This window comes from Homo sapiens, chromosome 10, assembly GCF_000001405.40.
Source record: "Homo sapiens chromosome 10, GRCh38.p14 Primary Assembly".
Taxonomy (NCBI): Eukaryota; Metazoa; Chordata; class Mammalia; order Primates; family Hominidae; genus Homo; species Homo sapiens.
In genome coordinates, this window is record NC_000010.11 from 117091221 (window position 1) to 117103227 (window position 12007).

Consider the following 12007-nt stretch of genomic DNA (forward strand, 5'->3'; position numbering starts at 1 on the left):
AGCTTACGCGTTGTGCCAGGGACTGTTCCAAATACTTTACATGGATTGTATCACTTAATCCTGAAATATCTCAGATGAGGTAAATAGTATTACTATCCAAATTTTAAATTTTATAGATGAGGAATCTGAGACACAGGCTAAATAGCATAAGGTCACACAGTCAAAAAGGAAAGCTCTGGAAATCCACATTTGACTTTTCCTTAAATGACAGACATGACCTTTCCCCATAAATGACCTTTCCTTTCAGAACAGAAGCTAAGCAAATTAAAGAAGAACTGGTATTCCTTGGACTATGTCACCTTCTAAGGGGAGGTGGAACCTACTAAGTTACCCTGAGGGAACAAAAACAAAGGCCCAAAGAATGCCAGCCCATTTCCAAGCAGCCTCTCTTAACAGGTAAGCACAATCCAAAGGCTTTGAGTTCCTAACAACACTGAATTTCTTGCAGTTTTTAGCATATACATTTTCTCCAGTATGCATTTGCTCATGCTGGTCCTTCCACTGGGAAAATATGGTCCCTTGCCCTACTTTACATGAATGACTGCCTCATCCATCAAGACCGAAGGCAAGTAGTGAGTGTCCTTTCCAGGAAGGTTTCTCTAAGCCCTCTTCCTCCCACTCTGCCAGAATGAGCCTAGTTCCCTTACTACATGACATGGAAATGATCTCTTTTCCATGCCTGTATCCTCCAGTTGAGGCAGGGACTGTGTCTTATTAATGACTGCCATGTGTCAAGTGATCAGGGCTTTACATACAGTGTCTCATTTAGCCTTAAAAACAACCCTGGGAGATTGGTATTCTCAACCCCTTATAAATGAGGAAAACGTCTAAACTAATAAGGGATAGATGAAAGATTTAACCCAGATGTGACACCAAAGCCTGTACATGTAACCACTATATTGCATAGTACTTCCCGTACTTAGATTTGCATTCACTATGCCCAACACAGTAGCTTGCAAATAACCGATGTTTAAGAGATGTTTACTGAACTGATTTGAAGCCATGGGCTTAAATGATCCCCAGTAAGGATGTGAACATAATAGGTTAGGTTATAACTTTGGCCTCTCACAGGCAAGCAAACTCTAGTTTGGGTAATGACACTAGCCTCTCAGAAACTCTCTTGCTGCTGCATATGAAAGCCTATGATTCTCTAGATGACCAAGCTACAACATCCTTTATCCAGAATTTGCGACAAATGCGAGAATTGATAAATCTGTAGGAGTAAATCCCTGTGTGTTTGAAATGAACCAACACACACAAATGCAGACACGGTATTTAAAAATTGTGAAACTTTATCCCCTTTGGGGACAAATTAAGCCAATAAAAACAAAGGGGAAGAAGAAGGCATTCTCTAGACCCATCTGGCTGCACCCAGTGCATAAGGATCTGCCAATCATGAGGCAACGGCGCCCAGCTGGTTTGGGTCACTGAGAGAAAAGCTGCATGCAGATAGTTTATGTACTGGAATAAATCAAGATGAGCAATTACCATTTTCTGGAGAAGCTTGGACTTATTCAGGGTGAGCTTTCACATTGTTACTGTCTTTAGAGAACCGAATTTTAGAAAAAGTGAGGGGGAGATAAGGGAGAGACTGAGGCTGAAGGGTTTAAAAAGAAAAGGGTATGGGCTCATATGTAATACTTTCTTCAGCTCATAGATAAGAAATGCCTGGTTGAGGGACAGTTCCACCAGGTCCACTAATAGCAGTACATGAAGAATTTGACAGAGCTGAAATTCTTCAACAATTCTAAGGGCTTCACAATAAATGCAAGAATAGCAGCCAATACTTATAGAGTCCTAAATGCTTCAGACTCTACAATATATAATGAGAACTCCTTCAATAAATGTCAGTAGTAGTCATTATATCTACTATCATTAGTATTACTATCCTCAGTTCACTATCCCTCACAAGGACACTGAGTATATACTACCATCATCCCATATTACACATGAGGAACTAAGCTAAGACAAGTTAGGTAGCATGCCCAGATACATACAATTAGAAATTGGAGGCAGCAGAGCCCACAAGTGCAGAAAGTATTACTACAATAATAATGGTAGCCACCATTTTACAGCTACTGCAGGTGATCTTGTGTTGAGCACTTCACAATCACTATCTTTCAAGCTCACACCAACCCTGCAAGGCATTATTATTAATAACTTGAAATGAAAAAAAAAGCCACGTATCATGGTGCATGCCTGTGGTTCCAGCTACTCGGGAGGCCGAGGTGGGAGGATAAGCCGAGATCATGCCACTGCACTCCAGCTGGGGTGACAGAGAAAGATCTTGTCTCAAAAACACAACACAACTAAACAAAACAAAAACCTGAGACTCAAAAAAGTCATGTCAAAAGTCATTCAGCTAATAAGTAGCTGAGGCCAGATTCAAACTCCGATCTACCCAACCCCAAAGGCTACGGACTTTTTCACGACACCAGGCTCTCTTTAGTCATAAGCTGTACTGTAACAACTTACGGAACAACTAGGAAACAATTGTGGACAATGCATTGGAACCACACACAATGGGCATTCACTGTGTGGACTGCACTTTGTCAGTGCTATTGTGCAGGTAAAGAAGGGATACAGGAAGCCAAACACTCAGCAATATGATTTTCTATACATGACCCCAAGTTCAAAAACCAATGCTTTCTGTCAAGGGTAGTTGTGCACTCAAGTAACAAACCTGGGTAAATAAAAGGTTCAGAGGAAAACATGGAGCTTCCTGGAGAAATGATTTTGAGGGAGGCTAATTCTTCCAATATATTATTTTTGAGAAACAAATTTGATATATTTTAACTCAATGTGGAACTCAGGATATGTGGGCTTCCCTGACTCAGAAGCATCACAGACCATAAACAAATCACAGAGTATCTCTCCTCCTGGGCACAACTCCGTTGCTCTGCCACTATCTGAGGCACTACACCGCTCTGATGAGAAAAATGTATTGCCCCAAAAAGACCTAAGAAATACCAAAAGGAGCAGAAATGACAGTATTTGTCTTGACTTATTTTGGTGTCACAGATGTTGCCACACAGTACAAACTGTGTAATATTTGCTGATTACAATGACACGCAATATACTTCAGCTTGGATTGATATATCATCAGCACTGTAGGAAGATCTTACCTTGCAAAAAAATGTTTAATTTCAGTCCAATCTGTCAGTTCTTCCTAGGGTTTCACCTTCCCCAGTTTTCCCCTCCTCAGGAAAAAATCTTTAAAGCCATTTCATAGATAAAAATAGGTCTGGAGTTTCACAGGGGTAGCCTTGTAATTTGGTACTTCTTGGTTATTACCATGTGTTTCTTTAGAACACTTGGGTCAGTTGTCTAATTTGAAAAGCTCTGCTGACATCTCAAAGTATTTGTTCTAATTATTGCTTAACACCCTGGTAAGAGGCTTCCCAGAAGATAAGCGAAGTTTCATAATCATTTCCCTGGTTTGAACTTAGAAAGAAATGTAAATATATATTATCATTAAGTGAGTTGTGATTTTAATTACTGGAAAATGTTATTAATTCTGATAAGAATTATTCAGAAGGTAATAAAGATAAAAGCTGTCAAAATTAATTAAGCACATATTCATTAAATCCAAGGTAGCTTCAGTTTCCTTATTGCATAAATACAATTAACACTTAATCTGAATCTCGATAAGTTACATAATCATGTGCCTCAAAATCAAGGGAGGATACAACCTTGGCCTTCTCCGTTTTACATGGGAAAACATTAATGACGCTGACATCGGAGACAATTAGACAGTGTCAGCCAATTGTTTTTAGCCAGCTTTCTCTCACATCTGTGGTGTCTACAAGCAAGAAGGCTCATTGTTTCCACAGGCCTCCTTCGGGCCTTGGCTTTTTGTGTAAACCGTCAATCTCTTGGCGAATATCAAAGCCGTGAGGAAATTAGAACAGACCAGCTCTGCTGCCCCACACTAAAGCTTAGCAGGGTGCATCCACTATGCTACTAATTAGGCAGTGACCAACAAAATAACCTGTCAATGTCCGCTAGCCATTTCCCACACACCTGCATTTCATACCCTAATAAGCATACAGCAAGAGAGAAAAAGGGATAACTGCTGAAGTGTGAAAAATGAACAAAATATAACAATGTTTCCATCCCCACCTATACTTCTGGCAATTACCATTTAACATTAGGGGGACTCAACATGTCTGAAGACTCACAATACGGTATCTGAAACTAAAACCCAGGGGGGAAACCACACATTGAGACTGTATTAAGGTTTGCTTCGAAAATATCACACTAAGAAGAATCTAGAGTTATGTATAAAACCCAGGAAACTGAAAATGACCATAATTTAGATTAGGGACCAGGAGACTGACTTTTTAAAAACATTTTCCATTCAAGCCATTGAAAGAGAAATGCGTACTATTCTCTTCATCTTTTCCTTCCATAAAACAAAAATATATAACAGGACAGAAAATAGAATATCTGAAAAAAAGTTTCATTTTTTTCCTTACATTTTCCACTCTGATTTAGTGAATTTATGATCATCATCATTCTTTTGACCTACTGTATATTAATTAATTTCTTTTTCAGGTCTCTTTTTCTTTTCCCCATGGATTCCCACTGTAGTCTTTTGGACAAGATTCTGCAAGCAGCATTTTATTTGCTAGTATTTTCACTCACAGAGAAAGCTACATGCCTTGCAGTTGAGGGAGCTGAGAAGGTTCAGTATCAAATGGATTGAAAACACCTCTATTTTGCCCTTGAGCTTTAAAATGTATTTGAGAACTCACAACCCAAATATAAAAGCAGGTTCCATTGCATCTTTAACAACATAATTCTTAAGCGATTCCAACTGCATCTCTATTTAAGACTCTTCTCAATTTCTTGGGTCACAAAACCTCTGTGTTTTACCTCTAATATCTTTGTTGATTCTAGTATTCCTGAACATAAAAAGATACACACTATCTCCAAAAATTAAACGGTCAAAAAAATAAAGTGTAACGATTTGGTTATTGTGCTTAAAATAAAACAAAAGTAACTCAACTTCTCTCAACTGAAGGGTTAAAAAACAAACAAACTTTGCACAATGGCTCTCTCCACTTTATTTTGCCCCAAACAAAGATTTTGTAGTACAGGTACCCATATGATAGATTTCTTATGAAAAGGCTTCTGGCTTTTAAGACCATATATCCTTTGGAGCAGCTCCTTTTTGTGCCTCAGGATCCAGCTGAACTTTTTTTAAAAGAGAGAACAAGAGAAATGTAAGGACAAAATTGTTATGTGAAGAAACATCACTTCATCTCAATATGTGCCAAGGAGCAGGCTATATTGTGAGAGCATCCTTGATGGAATCACATACAATATAGACCAACATTCAAATGGTATTTGTTAGATACTTCTGAACACTACTTTTCTTTTCATTAGACTTTATCCAAAAACAGCATTTTCAATTATAAATAAAAACTTTCTCCACCTCTTCCTACTTGAACTCAAGTACAGAAGGCCCCTATTTAAAATGCAGCTCCGGAGCCGCCACCAGGCTGCCTGTTCAGCTGCCAGTGGCTTTTGTGTACAAAGATGTTAATTGGTTCTAATCCTCTCCTAGAAGCTGTTTTGGTAGCCTGACCTGGCACCCTGAAGGACACCTTGGTGTGAAAAACTAAAGGGTCCATTGAGGAGGGAGTGAAAGGCAGCCAAGCATTCCAACACATTTTAATTTCAGGAATTAAAAAAGAGGAACATCATCATGGAGATCCTAGAGAAATCTTACAAAGCTTTAATAACAGTGAAGTAAGTCCTACAAACACCCAAGCGCGCACGCGCGCGCACACACACACACATAGACACACACACACACACACACACACACACACACAAAGGAAAAAGGAAGCCCTAGAGTAGGGGCAAAGGGAAATTCAGATTCTCAAATTCTTCATTTCATAACTTCATCTTATAAACTGGTTTGGTTCTCTGAAATCCAAAAACGTAATTTCACTAGTTGAGACATTTGTTTTTTCTGTCCTGATTTACCAAACTGACATCCTCATGAAAATCAGATTCCCACTCTGCTCAACCCCGACAGACTCTGCCAGAATGTATGGTCTTATTTGGTTGAAGTATAGCATCTATCTCAATGACTAAGTTTAAATTGATTTTATAACTCACAGTTTCTGAAAGAAAAGGTGAAGAGAAAAAAGTAATTCTTACGGCAAAATTTTAATTCACTGTTCTACATGGCAAACAATCTTTTCTCACAATTCTGTAAAATACTATCCATACTATGTGCCAATTTAGAGAATATACATTTACACCTTGGGTGGCAAATTATGCTAATGAGATGCATGATCTACAACTGTGGGGTTTTGGATTTTTTGACAGAGTTCACAGATCAGCTTCATGGGTCAGAAGAATTTGCCTTTTGTCTGATAAAAGCAGAAAGATATGAAGGTTATAGGTTACTAAAACTACACCAAGTGCCAGATTTTCAACCATGACCCAGTTTACACTTTAATCTCCACCCTGATTTTCAAATGTATTTGAGAACTCACTACCCAAATAAAAAAAGTTTCCATTACATCTTTAACACCATAATTATTAAGCGATTCCAACTGCATCTCTATTTAAGACTCTTCTCAATTTCTTGCATCACAAAATCTCTGTTTTACCTCTAATATCTTTGTTGATTCAAAGGTTATCAAAGGTTGTTTTTTTTTTTCCATCATCCCAACAGATTCAGATAATGGCAAAAGTCAGAGGGACTCTGCTGGTGAGAACAGTGGCAAATGCTTCACGTGAAGTGGAGTGGATAGTCCCCAGAACAACTGAAGAGGCACAGAAAGGGAATGGCAAATTTTTTCCAGTAGTGAAGATTTTCTGAGCAAAAGAAGGCACTCCTGGTGTGCTTTTAAAAGATGCCTGAGGCCGGGCGCGGTGGCTCACGCCTGTAATCCCAGCACTTTGGGAGGCCAAGAAGGGCGGATCACGAGGTCAAGAGATCCAGACCATCCTGGCTAACACGGTGAAATCCCGTCTCTACTAAAAAAAAAAAAAAAAAAAAAAATTAGCCAGACGTAGTGGTGGACGCCTGTTGTCCCAGCTACTTGGGAGGCTGAGGCAGGAGAATGGCGTGAACCCAGGGGGCGGAGCTTGCAGTGCGCCGACATCGCGCCACTGCCCTCCAGCCTGGGCGACCGAGGGACACTCCGTCTCAAAAAAAAAAAAAAAAAAAAAAAGTTCCTGAAATTTGAAATGAGATAGCCTGTGGAATAGGAGATTCTAATGATCAAGATGAAATTATTATATGTAATCAGATACTGACAACAATCCTCAAAGTGACGGCAGCCCTGATTTGCTCATCAACATTTTTCCTACAAGCCACTTAACGCTTCCCACTGCATGTTTTCAAACTGTCCACCACTTGTAATAACCACTGATCACGCCAAAGTCCACTCTGAATATGAGCATCGAACATGATCATGATGTGGACCTTACAAGTCACTCTCCCAAATTATTTGCCACTTAGCAAATAGAAGAAAAAGAATGCAGGACTCAACAACTTATATACTATTGACATCAGTATCTACATTCCTGAGTTTCCCCCAAACGCTTCCTCCTGCTGATGGAGACACAATTTGTGTTCCATCACGCAAGCCAAATTCTTAGAAACAGACCAGCCCTGAAGGAGATAAAGAATAACTGTCTCCTTTTTATCTCGATCCTTAAAAGACTTCAAATTTATAAAGACCTTAACAGTACTTAGTACGGAAAAATTCATAGCATAAATCAAAAGTATAATGTTCCACAAAGAAAATGTGGTATGTATACACACACACACACACACACACACACACACACACACCATAAAAAGGAACAAAATAATGTCTTTTGCAACCACTTGAATAGAGCTGGAGGCCATTATTCTAAGTGAAGTCACTCAGGAATGGAAAAAAATACTCTATGTTCTCACTTATAAGTGGGAGCTAAGCTATTAATATGAGGACGCAAAAACATGCAGAGTGATATAATGAATCTTGGAGACTCAGGGTGGGGAGGTAAGGAGGGGTGAGAGATCAGACTACATATTGGGTACAGTGTACACTGCTTGGGTGACGGGGTGCACTAAAATCTTAGAATTCACCACTAAAGAACTCATCTATATAACCAAAAAAAAACCAGTACCCCAAAAACTATTGGAATAAAAAAATTTTAAGTATAATATTCCTTTGAATATAAAATCTCATTTAGAAATTATTTGATGGAGGCCTAGCATCTACCAATATCACTTCACTGATTTTGCTCTCAGGATGTTAAAGCCAGAACTTAACTTTCCCAAGTTCACAAAGTTGTTAAATAGTGGGGCTAAAATTTGAGTCACGTCAGATTCCAAAACTCACATTCTTTTCACCACACCATGCTGCCTTCCCAAATTAATTAAAATAAAATAAATAAAAGGTAACTAGAGAGAAGTGAAGTTAAAACATGCTAGTTTTTTCAAATGTCTAGCACTACTATAATCATCTAGGAGGCGCTCCATGAATACTTGTTGAATTAAACTTTATTGACCATTTCCTTTCTCTAACCTTTGAGGCCTAGGTTAGAATCCAAAGTTTTCCCCTTACCAAGCTGAGTGGCTCTAGACAAGTTACTGCACCTCTATGAGCCTATAAAATGAATAAATGTCTATCAGTTTGTCATAAAGAGTAAATACAGGCCAGGCATGGTGGCTCACACCTGTAATCCCAGCATTTTGGGAGGCCGAGGTGGGTGGATCATCTGAGGTCGGGAGTTCGAGACCAGCCTGACCAACATGGAGAAACCCCGTCTCTACTAAAAATATAAAATTAGCCAGGCATGGTGGTACATGCCTGTAATCTCAGCTACTAGGGAGGCTGAGGCAGGAGAATCGCTTGAACCTTGGAGGTGGAGGTTGCGGTGAGCCGAGATAGCGCCATTGCACTCCAGCCTGGGCAACAACAGCGAAACTCCGTCTCAAAAAATAAATTATAAATAAAAAATAAAGAGTAAATACATGTAAAGCATCTGGCACACATCAGATCAGGGCCTGGGAAACAATCATCCATTTTTGTAAGTAAAGTTTTATTAGAAACTCATCACCTCATTCATGATGTGTTTTCTGTGGCTGCTTTCACGCTAGGATGGCAGAACCAAGTTGTTGCCACAGAGACTTATGGCCCACACAGCCTAAAATCTTCACCATCTGGCCCTTTATAGAAAAATTTGCCAAACCTGAAGTAGATAATCAATAAATGTATGTTTTCTTGCCATTCCTTTCTTTTCCTGACAGTAGTCACTTCAAGTTGAATGAACTATATTTTTTAATGTTTTTTTAAGTTTCAAGTGTCATATTGTTAGCAAAAATCCTTACATACCCAGCCTGCATGTAATAATACAGATTGGTGGACAGTGCCACAGGAAGAACTGCACACACCTCAAAAGCACAGGCTGAAAGGTTACACTGTGCTTATCCTCAAAGCAAAGGGCTCAATTTGGCTACCATTCATTTAGCTAAGGCATTTCTTCCAGGTTATGAAAGAGCTTTTTGAAGAAATGATACCTGAGCTGAAGTCTAGGGATTAAGAGTTGGCTCGGCAAAAAATTGAGGGAATAAGCATCTGAGGAAGCAGAAATAGTTTATGCAAAGATTCTGAGGTGGGACTAAGTTTGGGAAATGGCCCGTGTAGCTGAGAGTAGTGACTAACATAGATGAAGGTAAAAAGAGGGTGGGGAGTAGTCAAGATGGAGTCACACCACAGAGTCACATTATGCAGAACCTTATACGCCTTGGTAAAGACTGGATTTTAGGCTAAGACCTAAGAAGGTTGAGAAACCCTTGAAGGATTTTAAGTGACATAATCCAATTTATACTTTAAGCTCACTTTGACTGTTGTGTAGTAATTAAATGGATAGAAGAGAAGGAGTTGAAATAGGGAAGTTCCATGGCTGAGAAAAGGCTAATATCCAGGTCTCTAAGTCTCAATTGATTTTCTTTTCACTACACTGTGCTGGTTCTGGAGAAAACACCTTATATAACATTGTATCTTGGTCTTCTCCAAGCTTTGATCAGCTCATCTGTATGTGGAGTTTCAGGGATAGGCAGCTACATGGACCAATAATCTAGTGTGAAGACTTAAAATACAAGGTGATAGAAAAAAGGTTTTCTGTCACAAGCCTCAGGAAATGAGCCAAGTTGAAAAAATATGGTTCAGCATCCAAGGGATAAGAGAACAGCTGGAGAAGGAATAGCCAGAGCCATTGTCCAGGAAGCCAAAACATTACTGCATCTAGGACGTGAAAGGCAGGCCAATACAATGTCTTGATTCTTAATTCTGAGAAAATAAGAGACGAATTCTCAAGTGAAAGAAGGAGCAGATTCATCTTCTATGGTCTCATGAGGACAGAACAGGGGTCAGTGGGTAAAAGTGTGGAACAAGGTCCAAGGGGGTAACAGAAAACTACAGAAAGACATATATTTTCTCTCACCACAAGGGAAAAGTTTCCAACACAAAGCTATCCAAAGAAAGAATAGCCTGTTCCCGAACGGTTGATTCAAATCATTTAACTGTATTCCAGATACTATACCAAGTGCTAGAGTAAGTTCCCTACCACTGAATACTTTTGGACCACTTGGCTGAATTAGGTGACTATAAGGTTCCTTCCAACATGAGATTTGATGGTTGCCACAATAAAACTAAAAATGCATGCATCAAAGTATACCTTTCTTTTAAACTTTCAATTATTTTTAAAAAAATTATAAATGGTAGAAGTAAAGCCATCAGTTGGGAACAGACTGTGAGGACAGAAAAAAAAAAAGAAGAAGAAGAAGAAGAAGTAAAGCCATCAAAAAGAAACTTTGTTCTTAAAAAAAAAAAAAAAATCACCTGACCACATGGCAAGACTAGGATGCTGACTTTCCTATCTACAGTTAAGGAACAGACCCTGCTGTTTTCTGAGGGATAGGATGACCTGCTGCATGCTCTAATCAGAGCACCTGGTGTGACAGAGGAACTCACGAAGGACTCAGTAATTTTTAATAGAACAGTAATACAGCTATCCTTTAGACTCCTGCAAACCAAATCTCAAATACCAAGGTATTTCAAATCTTTTACTAAGTCTCAGGCAGAGACCAAGATTAATTCTTTATTAGGTTCTGCAGAGACTGAGGCGTTGCTACTGAAACTTACATGCTAAAATTAATTCATCCAAATGTTCGGGGACTTACTTTCCACTCACTTCAAATACCTGAGGAAATGGGCTGCCAGTGAAAAGCCCTGCATTGTTAGAAAATCCAAACCACGACATGCTTCCTGGGATCTGAAAATTAGCAGGAGCTCACCCTCCAGCTTCCTGTCCTAGTGTTTTCTTGCTTTTTTCCCCTCCAACAAGTGGATCTGGTTACATTTGTTTCACCTCTCAGATATTTTGGCAATTTTCCTTTTTGAACGGAAGAATTCAGTTCCTTTCTTAAGAGTCCAAGCAGGAAAGGCAGGTGAAAAAGTTAACTGAAAAAACTAACAGTGCCAGTACCATAATTACCCAAGGACTATAAAGCTCTATTCTCTCAGTGATGAAAAAGGGGAATTACACATGTAACTTCCATTAACATTAATGAGACTTACCTACATAAATCCCTTAAGCATCAATGGGAAGAATGGACTCAGCATAACTACTGGCCCGGCATCTTTACTCTTTCAGTCATTTCTATTATCTGATTAAAAGGCAAAGACACGAGTGCTCCACAAATCAGAACCAGGTGAAGCTTCACGCCACTGAATTTACTGTCATCTGCCTCCTCAATGCCATTTTGGCAGAATGATTATAAAAACTGAGGCCTTGTCTCATTTTGGTTCCTTGTTCTATTTTTTGTTTGTTTTGTTTTTGTTGTTGTTGTTGTTTGCTTTTTGAGACAGAGTCTTGCTCTGTCACCCAGGCTGGAGTGCAGTGGCAAGATCTCGGCTCACTGCAACCTCTGCCTCCCGGGTTCAAGCAATTCTTCTGCCTCAGCCTCCTAAGTAGCTGGGAT

The 12007-nt window shown here is 39.3% G+C and overlaps 1 protein-coding gene across 1 annotated transcript in view, besides 2 other annotated features; it reads right to left on the reverse strand.

Moving 5' to 3' along the window:
• Window positions 1-12007, reverse strand: part of SHTN1 (shootin 1) — a 245110-nt gene that overhangs the window by 209744 nt on the left and 23359 nt on the right. The gene's annotated exons all lie outside the window — the stretch shown is intronic.
• Window positions 3393-4512: an enhancer, noted in NCBI's record as "VISTA enhancer hs841". NCBI's record gives its function as "enhancer in: midbrain (mesencephalon)[3/8] | forebrain[5/8]" and the evidence as "EXISTENCE:transgenic organism evidence [ECO:0001131][PMID:17130149]".
• Window positions 3616-4134: an enhancer, noted in NCBI's record as "NANOG hESC enhancer chr10:118854347-118854865 (GRCh37/hg19 assembly coordinates)". NCBI's record gives its function as "activates a minimal SCP1, AML or CMV promoter by ChIP-STARR-seq in primed H9 embryonic stem cells {active_cell/tissue: H9 hESC(primed)}" and the evidence as "EXISTENCE:reporter gene assay evidence [ECO:0000049][PMID:30033119]".